The following is a 17335-nucleotide window of genomic DNA, read 5'->3' as shown; positions in this document are numbered from 1 at the left end:
GTCATGAACTTAGATGCTTCATCCAATAATACGACACCACATTAAAACGACCCAGAGTCCTTTCACAATGGCCATCTCATTCATCCTCAGAACGACCCTAACAGATTGGTTCTTCATATCCTTCTTTACCCCAGTTTACCGCTGAGGAAACTGAGGCACAAAGTGACTCATTGATATAGTTCAGATATTTGTCCCCTCCAAATCTCATGTTAAAATGTGATCACCAATGTTGGACATGGGGCCTAGTGTGTCATGGGGGCAGACCTTGCCATCCTGGGGTAACGAGTGACTTGTCGCTCTGTTAGTTCCCACAAGAGCTGATCGTTAAGAAGAGCCTGGTACCTTCCTCCCCTCTCTCTCTTGCTCCCTCCCTCACCATGTGATAAGCCAGTTTTTCTTTGCCTTCAATCCTGAGTGGAAGCTTCCTGAAGCCCTCACCAAGAGCAGACACTGACGTCATACTTCGTGTACAGCCTGCAGAACCGTGAGCCAAGTAAACCTCTATTTCTTTTTTCTTTTTTTTAGAGAAATGTTGTAAAGCTTAGCACATCCCAGCACCAGTAATGGTATGGAGTCGTAGCAGCAGGGACAGGCAGGTGACCCCCACAGAGTCTCACATGGTGAAGAGGATGAGGAAGGCAACCATCAAACAGAAGAGCCCCATGACCTCAGACAGGGCAAAGCCCAGAATGGCATAGAAGAAGAGCTGCTGCTTGAGAGACAGGTTTCTGGCACAGCCAATGATCAGGCTGCCAAACACCGCTCCAATGCCAGCCCCTGAACCACCCACACCAACTGTGGCTGCCCCAACACCAATAAACTTGGCTGCTGTGTCAATGTCCCCGGAGACAACACTGGTCTGGAACTCCTATGTGGCCACCTGGAGTAGGGAACTGCTGTAGGAAGGCTGTTTAGATGAATTCTCTGGGCTATTCAAGAAGGAGGCAGACACAGGCCTGATTAGACCCCTGGTACCACAGTAAACCAGAGCTAGAGAAATGAGTAGTGCCCCGGGGGTCTGCATTTTTTAAGTCTGCACTCCCACTGCCCTGCAGCCCCTGCTAAGCCCACAGCACTCGCCCAGCTCTAACCCTCTCTTCTTTAAAAATGACTCAGCCTCAGGTATTCCTTTATAGCAACACAAACAGACTCAGACAGTGACTTATCCAAGGTTGCCGAGCCTTGGCCTTCTGACGCCACTGCCAGAATTCTTCCTGCACTTAAGGGACTGTCTCGAAACCTTGCCAATAATGAATACAAAGACCTCAACTAATCCATCATCAATTCAGAGAACAGCAGGGAGTATTCCAGTGAATCGAGCATTGGAATCAGCAAAGATTCTTGTGGGAAGACACAAATACCAAATCAACAAGAGGATCACTGGGCCTCATCCATCTTATGGCACAGATGGTCGTTCAACTTGCCTTGGAGAAAGAAAAGGTGGAGACCAGCATCCTCCTGCCCTTTGGTGTTACAGGAAAAAGTTAATGACACAGAAAATTGGTTGTGTTGCCCAGGATTGCAAACGAGAATCTTAAAGATGAAGGCTTCATAATAAACACACAAAGGTTATATGTTAGTACCTAAGCCAGAATTCTTTTTTCCACCTTAATTTCACAAACGTTCTGGAATGGTAATTAAGACACTCAAACCAAATGCAAACACTGGGGGTGGGGGAGATTTACCTCCCAAATCTGAGAAGTCTGAACTGCATTCCTCTTGCTAACGAATTTAATAATCTCTGAATATAGAAAATATCACCTTTTAACTGTCTCTGAAATTATTGCAACCAGTATTCTCTCTGTGTATGTGAGACATGGCACAGAAACACTAAGTTTCTGTGTTTCAAGTTTCAAACACTAAGTCAAGGAAGGGTACTACCCTGGCCCACCTCTCCCTCCCTCCCCACCCCCAACCCCCCCCCCCCCCAGTCATGACATTTGGAAGCACTGGCAGAAATGCAAAAGTAGCCTTGAGCTCCACCCCTCAAGACCTGCATACCTAGACTCAGGAGGGAAATGGCCATACAAACCAATGACCTAGCTAAGCATCTCATGTGCAACCTGGAGTTGTTCCCTATTCCCACAATGCTTTTGCTGGGGAATTTTTAAGGCAATTGTTAAAGCCTAATGGAGTCTCCAAGAAAACATCTGAGATATGCTGATTGGTGAAACCTAAAAAGGCTGCGCACCTGAGGCTGCTCTTCACACTCTGGAATTCCAGATGGCACCTCCAGTTGGGTTCTGTCCATCACATTGGTAGTATTTGGTTTACTCTATCTCCAAAATGCTTTCCCCTCTCCCACCTCTTCACTGGTCCTACCATCTAGCCTGAATTCAACTCCCTAAAAAATACTTTTCATCATGCTCCTTCTTGTTTAGAGAACTTCCATAGTCCTTTTCTGGAGAAACTCCCTCTACCTCAATAATAGCCTATATTGATGACCCTATAATTAGTTTCCCAAACCAGGACACTTAAAATAAAAGGGGCACTGTGAATAATTATGCTAGGACAAGAGCAGTAAACAGGATTGTCCAGGGAAAACTGGGACACACAATCACCCCAACTCTAAGGCCTGGGAGGGAGAACACCCTGACTTATTCTCTTAACTGTACTACCTATTTAACTGAACAGTTCCTAGCACAGCACCTGACATAACACAGGCACTCGATAATAAATATTTGTGGAACTGAATCTATAAAACAGGAGCCCTAAATGATATCACAGATACTACTAACTAGAATGCATTTGCCTCCACAAAGGATCCTGTAGAGCGCTACTAATTAAAATCATACCAGAAAATTACTGCTTCTGATAGTCTATTTCATTTTCTTTCTACCCTGGATGTTTTTAAATCTCTCACTAACAGTGATTTTGTATATCTTAATAATTATTAATAGTACATTCAGTCTTCTATAACTTCAGGTTCTGCATCTACAGATTAAATCAACCACAGACTGAAAATATGTAGGGGAAAAAATATAACAATTTTAAAATACAAATAAAAAAATACAGTGGAACAACTACTCACATAGCATTTACATTATATTAGTTATTAATATTATAAGTGATCTGGAGATGACTTAAAGTATATGGGAGGATGTGTGTAGGCTATATGCAAATACTATACCATTTCATAGCATTGACTTGAGCTTCCTTGGATTTTGGTATTTGAGAGGGGTCCTGGAACCAATCCCCCATGGATACCCAGAGATGACTGTGGTTACCATTACTGAGTCCTGCATTTGCTAAGTAGCCAAGGAACCTCAGCTACATTCTCTCAGCAGCCCTAATAAGGAAAGTGATAGTGTGCCTAGTCTCCAAGTGAAGAAACTGAGGCTCTGCAAGGATAGATAATTCACTTGTGGTCACAGACTCTGCCCAAGGTCATTCCCTTCCATTGACCAGAAAACTCACCAACCAGAACATTTCAGTTCCAAAGCATTATTTTGTTTAAACGATTTCATGACCTAGCCGAGGTGGCATAACATTCAGCATACTAAAAAAGCCATGAAATGGGCCATGCATGCTCCAACTATACCACTGACTGTCAACTGCATTTGCTGTAACATAATGCAGATTCAAACTCAGGGAAGCCAGAAGACCCAGAAGAAAGCCAGCAAGACTGGATGATAACATATCACACGAGCCTTCTATGAGCAGAAAGCAGAAAGGCAGAAACTGGCATCCTCTTCTCCAACTTCCAAAGAAGTTTTGCTGGCCAGCCTCGCAAGTGGGAAACATAATTTCCTGAGCAATGCAAAGAAGGAAGTCCCTGCTTGCCTGAAGGGAGGTGAGGAGAAGGCTGGGAGGAGGAAGAAGAGATTCTATTATTAAACAAGACAGATGAAAATTCCTTTTGAAAAAGGGAAGGGAACTTAGGCTATAAACTCTCTGAAAGTGGAGACTGATTCAACCCAGGGGTTGTCCCAAACTTCTCCAGCATTTTGTCCACCTTATCTTTCTCAATGAACTTCCTCCACACACAAAGTCTAGAAAATTTATCTCCCATAATGCTTTGATTTATGGTCATTTCAAACAAAAGGTTTTGGGCTTTTATTTTTTTAAGTAAAATATACATATTTAAAGTTCCCCTCCAACCTACTCATTTTAAAGTATGTATAAATATCCCAAATCTATAAGACTAGGCTCTCATGAGTACATTCCTCAAAGTACAAGCTATCAAATATTTTACAGTAATACAATGGGTTGTTGACTCCTCTCTTAAAAAAAGAAAAAACAAGAAACTCACATACACTTACAAGAATCACTAACCAACTTCTCATAAATACACTCCCAGGAAATTAACTGAGCATCTCAATCCGAACAAAGGGAAGGCTTTGTCTGCCAAACAAGACATTCTCTTCATTAATGTCTCCCTTGTATTGATTATGAAAGACATGCTGTACAAACAGTGTTTCCACAAAGAGGAGCAAGGAGCAAAGTTTTGCTGCAGTCACTGAATTTAATAGTCACCCACTCCCTGCACATTAAATTCTGCTCCTGGAAGCACATTCAGCCACCATAGATCTCAAAGGCTTTAAACCAAGCAAGGTGGGCATGGTGTTTCCTGCAGCTCTCAGCCATATAAACATTCAGTCTAAAAATGAACTGGGTTCTAAGAACAGCACGAAGTAACATTCTTATCTTCATCATGCATAAATTGCAAACAGCAGCTCACAGTCTCCAACCCTTCCCCCATTTCTGGTTCAAGGGCCCCCTTTTAGTCACATGGCTGCAGTCTAGAGCCAATATTGCATGAAATGGAAGCAGGGTTTGGTTAAGATTGGTTTAGCAGTAGAAAAACAGATAGAGGTGTAAAAAAAAATGTTTTGGCCTATCTCCTGCATAAACACTGATGTGTGAGGTCTTACTAAACAGAAAATGAACACATGGCTGACTAGATTTGTCAGCCTCCCCAAGACCAAGTTCTGGCCAGTGGAATGGGAGAAGAAGTGATGGGGACCTCTTCTGGGCCTGATTCAGTAAGCTCAATGTCCTTATCCCCTCCAGCTAGATGCCAAAAAAGTAGATGACCTTCACCGTGGCCTTGAAAGCCTGTGTTAAAGATGGAAGATTCTCAACATGGAAGGAGCCTAGGTCCCTGAAACACCAAATGGAGGAGAGTTCCCCAACCAAGAACACCTACTCTAAGCTATTCACATCAGTGGGAAATTAAGTTTTTCTTGTGTTCATTCACCAAGATTTTGGGGCTTACGTTACAGAAGTTCATGTTACCTTAAATAACACAGGCAATATGGAAAGTCCATTTATAAATATCAAAATTAGAGGCCCCACTGGATCTCAGGCTTGCTAGCATATGCCTATCCATGAATTCCAATGTCTCATGTCATTCATGAGTTCTACTCTATTCCACACCTCTGCAACCATGGTTGTGGGGGCGGGGGCCTTTTACTGCAATTTTTGGTTTTAGAACAAGAATATCACGAGAGTAAGATGAAATTCCTCTATCAATGTTCAACAGGTATAAATTGAGCATCTATTATATGCCAAATCCTTCTCTTAGATGTTAAGGTACAGAGACATGTTTTCTGCCCCCTTATATAGGGGAAAACAGGAGACTCAAAAACTGTACTTCAAATACACTGTGTTAAAACAGAAGCAGGTACAAGATACAAAATAATAGAATGCTGTCTTAGTCCCTTTTCACACTGCTGATAAAGACATACCCAAGACTGGGCAATTTACAAAAGAAAGAGATTTCATGAGCTTATAGTTCCACATGGCTGGGGAAACCTCACAATCATGGTGGAAGGCAAAGAGGAGCAAGTGACATCTTACATGGATGGCAGCAGGCAAAGAGAGAGATTGGGCAGGGAAACTCCCCCTTATAGAACCATCAGATCTCATAAGACTTACTCACTATCACAAGAACAGCACAGGAAAGACCTGCCCCCATGGTTCAATGACCTCCCACAGGATCCTTCCCACAATTCAAGATGGATTTGGGTGGGGAAAATGTTACTACTTGTTTGGGGGAAGCTGGTTAAGAAAGTCATCATAGGGAAGATAACCTGGCAGGGGTGTGAAGGATTATAGTCATTCTGGTTGAGCTGGGGTGATGGTGGTGATGATGGTGGTAGTGGTGGTAGTGATGGTGGTGGTGGCGCGGCAGTGGTGGTTGTTGTGGTAGTGGTAGAAACAGCAGGAGTAACAGTAGCAGCAACACATAGAAGGAAGAGAAAAGCATTTAAGAAAGAAAAAATCTTACTTGCAAAGAGGTTCAGGGGGACCAGCTATAAGAAAGACTGTCACACCACATAAATAATCACAAGAGATAATTACCTCTGCTGCTGCCACATTTCTCATATATGATCATAACCACAAGAAGCAATCATATCATCATTGCCAAGTTAAGGATAAAGCTGATGGTTGGATAATCCAGGCTTATGGAAAATGGTCAAGATTTCCTTTATTCAGGGGACCAGAATGAGACAGAGTGACCCTGTTATTTCTGACACATCTCAAGGTTAAAAAGGTTTATTTTGCTTTGTTTTTCCCAGTTATTGGATATGATGCACACCCTTGCTTCAACAGCAACAGGGAAAATGTAAACTCTGCTTTACAAAAGCAAACATCTATTGAGCATTTCCTTTTTGTTTTTTGTAGTCACTGATACGTGCTTTACAATTCTTATTTAATCCACACGACAACCCTGGCAGAGAAGGAAGAAGGTTACGATACTTACTTTACAGAGGAAGCACCTGAAGCCCAGAGAGGGTGAGAAACTTGCCAGGGTCATGAAGCTTTAAATAAATGACATGAACCAGCTTTAAACCCAAACAGTCTGACCCCAGAGCTGAGTTGATCAGATGGGTAAGCCAAGGGGTAGGCATTACAGGCAGAAGGAACAGCAGTACAAAGGTGTCATGGACGGGGGTAATAGAACAGTATATGGAGGGAACTACAAGAAGTCAGAGGAGAAAAGAATTCCTAATCTGGGTGTCTCAAGGTCGAGGAGACCAGTGAGGATCCTCTGTCCTAAGACTGGTAAGTGGATGAGGATTTGCTTGCATACGAAACTGTGAGGTTAGTACTCATGGTAGATTGCAAAAAACACCCCAATTCCATACACCTTGGCACTGTGACTCTGCAGTGCCATCCTGGGAAGTGCAGTCTGCCAGGAGCCTTGATGCTGGGCTCGGCCATGTGACTTGCTGTGGCCAATGGGATGGCAGCAAACATGGTGGGGGGCGGGTGAGAAAAGAACTTAAAAGCAGTTACATGAGTGGCTCACTGGCTCTTGTACCTTTGCCAGATCCATGAGAATTTGCCTGGGCTACACCACTAGAGGAGGATGAGAGAGATACAGGAAGCTGAGACAAATCATCTCAGTCATTCCCCTCAGCCAAAGCCATCCAGACATGAGCAAGGCCAGCCAAGACCAGCAAAGCCCTCTGGCCAGCCCAGATGTGTGAACAACAAACACTTACTACTGTGTGCTACTGAGGTAGTTTGCTGGGCAGCATTGTGGTGGCAATAACTGATGAGTACTATTGCCACCATTACCATTTTACAAATGGGGAAACCAAGGCCCAGAGAAGGGAAGAAACAGGATCAAGATGACATGGCTAGCAAAAGCAGCAATCTGAAAGCAGGCAGCGGTGCCAAAGCCTTTGCTCTTAGCCATTTTCATGTGTTAAAACTTCTCTCAAGGAAGCAGCAAAAGCAGGATCTGTCTCAGCAGGAGGCAAAGCATGCTGCCTGGCTCCCAGGTGGGGCCACTGGGCTGGGAGAAAGAGCTCTGGATATCCTGCTAATTGGCAGCATTCGCCCTCTCCAGTCATTGATTTAGGTTGGCAGTGACGGAGACCATCTGCTCGCACTTCACATCCTTGCCCTCCCCGGGAGCTCTGCAACACGCACAGGGAGCCCGGCACACCTGAGCTTACCCCACCTGTCCCTGCACTGAACCGTCACAGCTCAGACCCTTCCCTCCAAAGATGCCTTCTGGGACCAGCACCTGGAGCCAGCAGGGGCTCTCTCCCCAGCTGTGCTCTTCCCCTCTGAATCTTCCCGGCTTGGCAACCCCTTCCAGGAAGTCTGCAGCAATGTCTCCAGCACCTGCCTCTGCTCCCACCTTCCATCACCTCCCCTCCTTGTTTCCAGATTGCTTATGCCTGGCTCTGAGGTTATCCCATTTAGAGGTCGACTGTTCTGACAGCCAGCTGTATATGTCCCCTCTCCCCTCCCTGTGGTCCCTCCTCTAGCCAAGTAACGAATGATGGCTTGGCAAAGAAAGCACAAGCCCTTGCCAAAATAAAAGGTCTGTCGGAGCAACTCTCAAGAGTTACTGTGTCCTCTTAGCCCTCCCGCCTGGGGAACATTTCCTGCGAAGTTTCCATCTCTGTCGGACACCAGAATCCCAAGGTGATCACTGTAAATTTAGCACCTGGACTAGGTTTCTCAAAGTGGCACAGCACAGCTAGAATCCCTGAGGGTGCCTGTTTGATTCCAAGCCTCATCCTGGCCCTAATGAATCGACTATCTGAGGGGGACCTCTGAATAAGTTTCCAAGTGATTGTCCCACTCCAACATTTGAAAACAGCCTTTCTAATGTGCAGGACCGTCCATCCTGGTCAAGTCATCCAGTAATTTACATGCATCATCTCACCTCTGCCTCACTTCAACTCTAGAAGCAGATACTATTTTGTTCCCATTTTAGATATGAGGAAACTGAGGCTTTGTGATGTTATATAACCCCAGGTCACACGGCTAATACGTGGCAATGTTGGACTTTGAACAAAGCTCAATCCCATACTCAAAACTCACTCTGAAATACTCCTGCAATAGGTGACTTGAGTATTTCAGGACACTGATGAAACTGGTTATCTGCGTTCGCTTGTCATCCTTCTCTATGGTCCCTAAAACCATGGTGAATGGAAACGCACAGATCAGACACCTGATTTTTGGGACATTCCTTCCACAGTCACTTTTGTTGAGTGAGTGGAGAATAACTACCATGTTTCCAGAATTTGAAGAATGACTTGGTGATGCCTCCAGTTCTCAAAATGTTTCTCTTGGAGTTGATTTTAAGTCCTATTCCAGCCTCACTTCCCACCCCATGACAGAAGGTGTGGTGACTTAGGAGTAAAAACAATGCTAGTAATCTTTATAACTCACCATCACAGAGATAATGCTTTCAATCACCTCCCACCTCATCTTATTTTTTTATAGCAAAGCATGAGACACAAAATAGGTAAATAATGAAACAATGGACAATTAAAGCTGAACTGCTAAGCAAATAATAACGGAGTGAAAGGAACGGCTACATTTGCTGAATGCTTGCCAAGGCCAATAACCTGTGTTAAGCTCTTTACACATATTATCTAATTTGGCCCTAAGTGATATGATCTCCATTTTGCAGATGAATAAACTTAAGGTGACAGAGGTTAAAATAACTTGTCCAAGATCAAGCAGCTAGTTGATGGTACAGCTGTGACTCCAACCCACTCCTGAGTCACTCTGAAATCAATTGCTCTGAAAATAACTTGCTATGCAAAGTGTGGTCCCCAGACAGGCAGCGTCAACATAACCCAGGAGCTTTTCAGAAATACAGACTCTCAGGCCACACCCCAGACCTATTAAATCAGGACCCAGTGAGTGCAGTTAAGTCTGAGAAACGTTCGTCTAGAATAGGGTTGCTTAGCCTCTGAACTACTGACATCATGTGCAGGGTAGCTCTCTGCTGGGGGGGTGTGGGGGGTGCTGTTCCATGCAGTATCCCTGGCTTCTACCCACCAGATGCCAGTAGCAACTCTCACCCCTTTACAAGTCATAATGACCAAAAATGTCTCCAGCATTGCTAAACGTCCCCTGGGAAAGTGAAATAGCCCCCAGGTAGAATAGAACTGCTGGTGTCTATAACAGCGCTGTTCTGCCAGGCTGAATTTCTGGCATAAATCTGGGGTTTGTGGGCAAAAATTACAGAAGCCAGTCTAATAGGTGTCTGTAAGCCAAAACAAGAGCCTCTGAGTTCCAAGGTCTGGGTTTGGCTACAGGTCTGTCACTGACATGCTCTGGTGACAGAATCACAGACTTGCACCTCTGCATTCAGCACCAGTGCAAGGCTGGACTCTGGCATGGCTTCCCCAAACCTTGCTGCCTATGAGGATCACCTGGGAGTCATTTTTAAAATATTGATTAAGGCTCCCCCTCCCCCACTCCAACCACCCAAACCAAATCAGAACCTCCAATGGGGCCCCAGATGTTGCTTATTTTTCAAGACAGGGGGATGGGTGTCTCACTATGTTGCTCAGGCTGGTCTCCAACTCCTGGGCTCAAGGGATCACCCCACCCCAGCCTCCCTAGTAGATGGGACTACAGGCGCACACCACCCACCACACTCAGCCCCCGCTTTTTAAACAAGATCCTCAAAAGATCCAAATGTACCTAGGCCATGAACAGGCTTTTAGGAATCACTAGACGAGAACACTCCCAGGGACCCTAAATTGTAGGATTTGACCTCTTGTGCCCCAGGCCTCCTCCCTACCCAGATGTGTCACTTACAGCTTACTTTGAAGTCACCAGACCCGAGAGAGTCCTCAGACTCCCAGGGCAGCCATCTAGCCCAGCACGGGCTGCCCACCTGCTGCCACTGAGGTGACATCGAAGAAACAGGACTCAGCAGTGCCAGAGTCAGGAGTCTGGCATCTGGTTTTCTTAACACACATGCCACTGCGCCTGAGTCCACCCCGGTGAGAAGCCAGTGAGCTAATTACATTAACACAGCTCGACCAAGCTGGGCAAGGCAGGGCTGCTTCAGCCATGAGCAGTCGGGGAGAAATGGGACTTTTCTGCCGCTGCAAAACTATGGGAGGCACTGAAGTGGGCCCAGAGGAGCCCTTCCTCCCAGCCACCAACTCTCCCCACAGCAAGGCGCTGATGACTGCCCTGGGGGTGTGGGGTACACCCAGGTAAGACCTAGAGAGTGAGAATGATTATCTTGATGGAGAAAACTCAATGGAATGTTCTCTGCAGAGCCAGAAAGAAAAGCTAACATTGACTGGGTGCGTCCAACTTTTGAGGCATTTTACATCTCATTTCACCAGCTTTCTGAGCCCAAAATTACAAGGTTGAGTCCAAAAGCATTTTACCATTTTTAATCAGGAATCTGCCTGATGACTTTTTTTCCTCTCCACACAAAATTTTCTTTTTCTCCCCATAAGTCCTCATGCATTCATTCACAGCCCTTCCTTGGCTTCCGCTGGTCAGTTCCTGAAGCAATCCCTGGCCACAGAGAAAGCGAACGGGTACTAACTGTGTCCCGTGCTGATGTCCCACTGGTGGTGGCCAGAACTCCCAGGAAGATCAGGAAGCACCATCATAATCAGGAGAGCGGAGGCCAGCTTCCCAGTCCTGCAGGGCCTCTAGGGGACACAAGATACAGGGCCCAGGCACGGAAGGTCTCACTGGTCAAGTCCCAGTAAGAAGAGGAGCTCCCAAGTGAGAGAATGGAAAGACTCTTATTGTTGGCTACTTGAGGTGTGCCAGGAGCTGTTCTAAGCATTTACATGGATTTGCTCTTTTATTCCTAAACATGCACACACTTTAGAAGGTGGGTATTAAATGCCAGCCCCAACGTGCAGGTGTGCAGTGAGGCTCTGATAGTGTTAACGATTTGCCCGAGGCCACATAGCCAGGAAGTGTGGGGTTAGAATGCAGATTTGGGGTTAGAATGCAGACATGCAATGCCACACACCACCCTGGCAATGTCTGAATGGACATACTCCTACCATCTAACAACAGTTCCTTCTCTCTTGTAACTAACACCTTTAATCACATTACCTGTTAATGACTTGTCCGAGGTCATACAGCCAGGCAGCAGCAGATCTGGGGTTAGGATAGAGACAGGCAATGTCGCGCACCACCCTGACGATGTCTGGATGGGCATATTGCTCCCATCTACCAACAGCTCCTTCTCTCTTGTAATGAGCACCTTTAATCATATTACCTGCATCTATACATTACTCTCTAACCTAAATATTATGTAAGACTTTGCTACACAAAGTGTGGCCTCAGGCCAGCAGCATCAGCATCACCTGGGAGCTTGCTAGCAAGGCCGAATCCCAGCTCTGCCCCACATCTACTGAATCCAGATCTGCACTTTAACCAGAACTCCAGGCGATTCCTATGCATGTGCAGATTTGAGGGGCGCTGATATGGCACTTTTCTTGCTGACTCAGTAGAAGGGCCTGCCTCTGAATTCTCCTCTCCTGGGTTCTGGGCCTCCGTAGTGCTTGGATTCTAACTGAAGATTTATAACTTTCCATTGTTAAAATTCTTTCATGAACTCTTTCCTGATGATGCCCCACGCTGGTGTCTCTCTTAACTCAGTTTGCACTTGACAGTCTGAATTGCACCATGAGCTCCTTGGAACGTAGATCAGCTACCCAATTTAACACCTGGTGCTCTCTCCATCTGGATCACCTTGTTTCTCAGATGCGGGGAGTAGGGCTAAAAGTTAAGGGACTAATTTCAGAGGGAGTGGAGATAAATCATCACTCACAAATCAACTGATTTCCTTCCAATTAAATTACTAGCAATCTGAGGAGATGACTTTTTTTCCCCACAGCAACCAATGGGTACTCGAAAAATGTACATCTTTATTAACTGAGTCATCTGGCCAATTATTATTTTCCTAGACTGTTCTAAAAGCCAAGCATTTAGAAGAAATAAGAGAAGAATCTGGGCACAATAGCTCACATCTATAATCCCAGCACTTTGGGTGGCCGAGGCAGGAGAATCGCTTAAAGCCAGGAGTTCAAGACCAGCCTTGGCAACACAGCAAGACCACTGCCCCGCCACACCCCAGGTCTTTACAAAAAAATGTAAAAATTAGCCAGGCATGGTGGTGCAGGCCTGTAGCCCCAGCTACTCAGGAGGTCGAGACAGGAAGATCCCTTGAGCCCAGCAGTTCAAGCTGCAGTGAGCTATGATCATGCCACTGCACTCCAGCCTGGGTGACAAAGTGAGACACTGTCCTAGAAAAAAAAAAAAGTAAAAAAGAAGAAATAAGGAAAGAACAGTTGAGGTCACACGTGTGGTGTCCTAGGAGTCCACTCATGTGCTGCTAGGGAAAGAGAAAGAGGTGAGCTGTTTGCTCACAGCTGTGCCTTACCCTAAAATCAGCAAGGGCCACGTGTCTGATTAACAATTTCCACAGTGACTGAAGCCAGGGTTTACTGGATGGCACTTCTGATTTGCCAATGACTTTCTTTCTGCAAAGGCTCTCAGCCTCCCTGCCTGGCTAGAGAGAGGCTGACTCCTTCACCCAGCATCTGGTGGGTGGACCTGAAGGAGCTCACCGTTTGCAGACCATAACTCATGAGTTCATTTTCTCCAGGCTGACTATAAATACCAGACCAGGCTCTCGGCTGAGCACTTTACCTGCATTATGGAATTTAATAATCACAAATGCCAAGGAGGGTGCTCAGAGTGTCGGCTTGGGGCCATTTTGCAGGTCAAATGAGCATCTGTGAGCTAAGCGATTTGCCCAAGATTAGAAATCTAGTAAGTGACTGGACCAGGATTTGAACATGACCACCAAATGCTAGGCCACATTTCCTAAGAGGGAGAAAAAGTACTTCAGATCCTGAACCTTCAGGTTTGGTGCCTCCCCAAAATTACCTAGCAAAATTAAGGTGTTTGCTTTCAGGGACTGGGAAGTGCCCTCTTGTTACTTCCTGGATCCCAGGGCTCTACTATGTGTCCATCAAGGACACACTCTGAAACCTGTCCCTCCCAGGAACTCCCAGGCAGCAGGTTGTACAGTCAAAGGCAAAAGAGACCTGGGCTTGTGGCCCAGCTGTGGAAACAAGGAAGAGGAGTCCTTCCTTGAGCATCTTTCTACTCCGTTCCCAGACTCTAGTCTTATCTCTTATTCTAGAATGCTCTGAAAAGCTCCTCCACTTTTTTATAAGGCAGAAAAACTTAGATACCCTCTGATCCTCAAGATCCTGAAGGACTCCGAAGGCATAATGAAGTGTCCTGAACAGCAGGTGCTGTTTGCTGTAAATGCTGAGCTAGCGGAGGTAGGGATGGAATCAAAGGGCTCCATCCAACCTCCTCACAAGGGCAGAGATCAAACCTGCCCTCCCACCCGTGATCCTACAGAGATCAGAGCCTAGGGAACTTCCTCCCAGTTTACTCCCTAACGTCACCAGACTTACTTGCCAACCTACCGCAATAGTTCATTTCCACTACTCCGTTCTTATTTCTTTCACAGAATCAGATGCACTGAAAGCTAAAGCTCTGTGGACACACCCCACACCAAACCCAGGTCAAAAACTGACCACTTTGGCATCCAACTATAACCCTCCCTTGCAAGGGATTTGCAACTCCTCTTCTAAGATAGACTTTGTGGGGAAAAACATATATGTAGCTTCAAGAGAGCCAATGTCATCATTATCAGAGCACTGTGTTCACAAATCCCTTGCCTATTTGTTCCTCTCTTAGCTCATGTCATTCTTTCTGCTCATTTCACAGAGAAATACCAAACTAAAAAACGAATAAGTCTCGTGTTGGTAAAACATCAAAGGGTAGAAGAAGTCAGAAGTTCATTTGCCTTCTTCCTTGCTCGTTCATTTCTAGTATCCTTGGTTCATTTTGTCCCCTGATTAGCTACGTGGCTTAAAACAAATCATTTAAAATTCTCTGTGCCACTCATCGCCAAGCTGGGACTAATAAATCTAAATTCTTACCTCCCAATGTAAAAAAACAAGAGGCCACTAAACCCTTCGCAAGCACCAAGGCTGCCAGAGGAGAGGCAATATTATATGTTACGAAAATAAAATGAGAGCTCAGATATAAGCTGCCAGGTATTAATGCTAAGTAATAAAACAGGAAAAAGCCCAAGAGCAACGTTTTATGGAGATGAAGCAAGAACTTCTCCCAGGAAGGGGGAGGCCAAGAACTGAGCTTCTAATCTAATAAATCAAAAGGGAAAAAACAAACCATTAACAAGGCCCAGCAAATGCATCTCAAAAGACAGCTACAGGGAAAAATAGAAGGAGCTTAAGGGTCACCTGGGGTGCCAGATTAAAAGTCCACAATCAAACACTGCAAAGCTGTATGAATCTTATTTACCACCATCAAAAAAATACTGATGGAGCACTTCCCCCACTGAGCCCTGGGCTGGCTGTACCAGGTGCAGGGGGCTCAGAAAATGTCCCCAGAACCTGTGGGGGCAGTCCCATGGCCACAGGGGGCAGAAGGAGGACAGCAAGAGAACAGAGGGGCAGAATGAGGGAAGGTAGCACTGAGGACCGGAGGCAGCCCCAGGCCCAGAAAACCCACCCCTATTTTTGATCATTTCCCTTCCTGCCTTTTTTCCTTCTTTTTTTTTGGTGTGAACTCTTCCAGCGTTGAGCTACCTGCTGTCCAGACTTAAGTGTCTATTTGATTTACATAATAATGATTTCTTTCCACTCATGACCCACCAGGATGAATTTGTATCTATTTATCAAAGCACATTTTCTCCAGGTCTCCCCTTTAATGTTTTCTTGCTGAGGCCAAGGTTATAGGATACACAGTCTGGCCCCAGAACTACATAAAGTTAATGGCCCAATCACCAGTTGCTGCTCCAGGCTTAGGGTGGGCTGGAGAACAGCCCAGGACCTGGATTTGGAGTCCCTAATTCATCCCTTTCCACTCCATGAAGGCAGGGGACCAGGAGGTACAAGCAGTTCTAACTGAGCTTCTGGGGCCCCACTGGCTGGTCACAGGCCTCACCCGGACTCTGATGCACTCCCAAAGACACTCCTACCCCTTGGCCTCAACAGAAAGCCCAGGTACGAAGCAGTAAATCAAATCTAACAGCCTATGAGAAAAGGATTTTAAAAACCTAACACCCTCTCCCATAAAAAGAAGTATTTGCTGAGTGTTACTCTATTCTCTGGGATCCATGTGAACTGAAAAACAAGAATCATGGTCCCTGCTGCAAAGAAATCAAATTCCAGATAGGGAGATCTAAATTAAACCAGCCATGGGAGGAAAAAAGAATGAGGACTGGCAATAGTGAGCCACTGAAAGTTCTGGAGAGGTAGAGTGGTAGCCATTCTGAAAACGGGTTAAGAAGATCAAGAAAAGATCAAAGGAAATTCAAAGTTGAATCACCTTTCTTCTTCTTCTGGAAAAGCATATAAAACAAAAACAACTCCTCTCTCCCACTACCTAAAAACTATCGTATTAAAGGTTCATAAAAGAAACCCTTAATGTTATCGGCTGCAAAAGACGATTAAAATCAACGGCTAATTCAAGTGTTCCAAGTCTTTGAACTGAATCCACCCCACATCCGCTTGAGCAGGCTCTCTCGGAAATCATTAAGAGTTGCACAAATAACCAAGACCCTTTCCCAACAAGTTGGATAACCCAGATGTGAAACTCTCAGTGAAAAAGGTCCTATAGGGACGTTTTCAATAAAAGCATCTTTGAAGGCCTGGCCCTCCCGTGAACTCCACAGTAGATTATCCCAGTCATGAGGCGCTAACACCATCCCCAGCCTTCCTGTACACATCCCTTTGTTCTTCTGGCTTTTTAGTGGTTTGAGGTTAAGCCCCACTGACAGTTTAAAATTCCCCTAAAATCTAGTCACTTCCGATCCTATCTGACTATTCCCCAGTCATGATTGGCAATAAAGCCTTTAAAATAAAATGGACCCATATGCTTGGGGAAGTGGAGAAGCTTACATTTGCCCCACCCCCAGCCCAGGAGGGAGAAGAGTGACAGAGATGGCAACTGTTATTAAGATGACAGGTGAAGCCTAACAGCCCTGGAGCTGTAGGACAGAACAAGAGAGGGGACAGGGTCTGGTGCAGTGGCTCATGCCTGCAATCCCAGCTCACAGCACTTTGGGAGGCTGAGGTGGGTGGATCACTTGAGGTCAGGAGTTCAAAACCAGCCTGGCCAACACGGCAAAACCCCATCTCTACTAAAAATACAAAAAATTAGCCAAGTGTGGTGGTACATGCCTACAATTCCAGCTACTCGGGAGGCTGAGGCACGAGAATTGCTTGAACCGGGAGGCGGAGGTTGCAGTGAGCCAAGATCTCACCATTGCACTCCAGCCTGGGTGACAACAGAGTGAGACTCTGTCTCAAAAAAAAAAAAAAAAAAAAAAAAAGAGGGGGCAGGAAGATACTCAGCACATGCAGGGTGGAGCGGGACCCTGAGCACTTGCCCCATATGCACCTGTCTGCATGTAATCAGCTTGTGAAGAAACAGCAGGCTGATCACACTGTTACCATCCGGTCCCCTCTCTCCAGTCCATGTCACCCACTATCACAGACCCAGGTTCTCAGCAAGGCAGGGAGAA

The 17335-nt window shown here is 45.6% G+C and overlaps 1 protein-coding gene and 1 pseudogene across 4 annotated transcripts in view, besides 1 other annotated feature; both read right to left on the bottom strand.

Moving 5' to 3' along the window:
- CHST11 (carbohydrate sulfotransferase 11) overlaps positions 1-17335 on the bottom strand; it is a 305067-nt gene that overhangs the window by 246962 nt on the left and 40770 nt on the right. The gene's annotated exons all lie outside the window — the stretch shown is intronic.
- LOC124903004 (ATP synthase F(0) complex subunit C1, mitochondrial-like) lies at positions 519-1106 on the bottom strand (annotated as a pseudogene).
- Positions 17116-17335: an enhancer, noted in NCBI's record as "active region_6920". NCBI's record gives its function as "activates an Ori minimal core promoter by ATAC-STARR-seq in GM12878 lymphoblastoid cells {active_cell/tissue: GM12878}" and the evidence as "EXISTENCE:reporter gene assay evidence [ECO:0000049][PMID:35858748]".

Source organism: Homo sapiens, chromosome 12 (assembly GCF_000001405.40).
Source record: "Homo sapiens chromosome 12, GRCh38.p14 Primary Assembly".
Classification (NCBI taxonomy): Eukaryota; Metazoa; Chordata; class Mammalia; order Primates; family Hominidae; genus Homo; species Homo sapiens.
The sequence above is the reverse complement of the archived record's forward strand: the minus strand, read 5'-3'. Positions and strand labels throughout refer to the sequence as shown.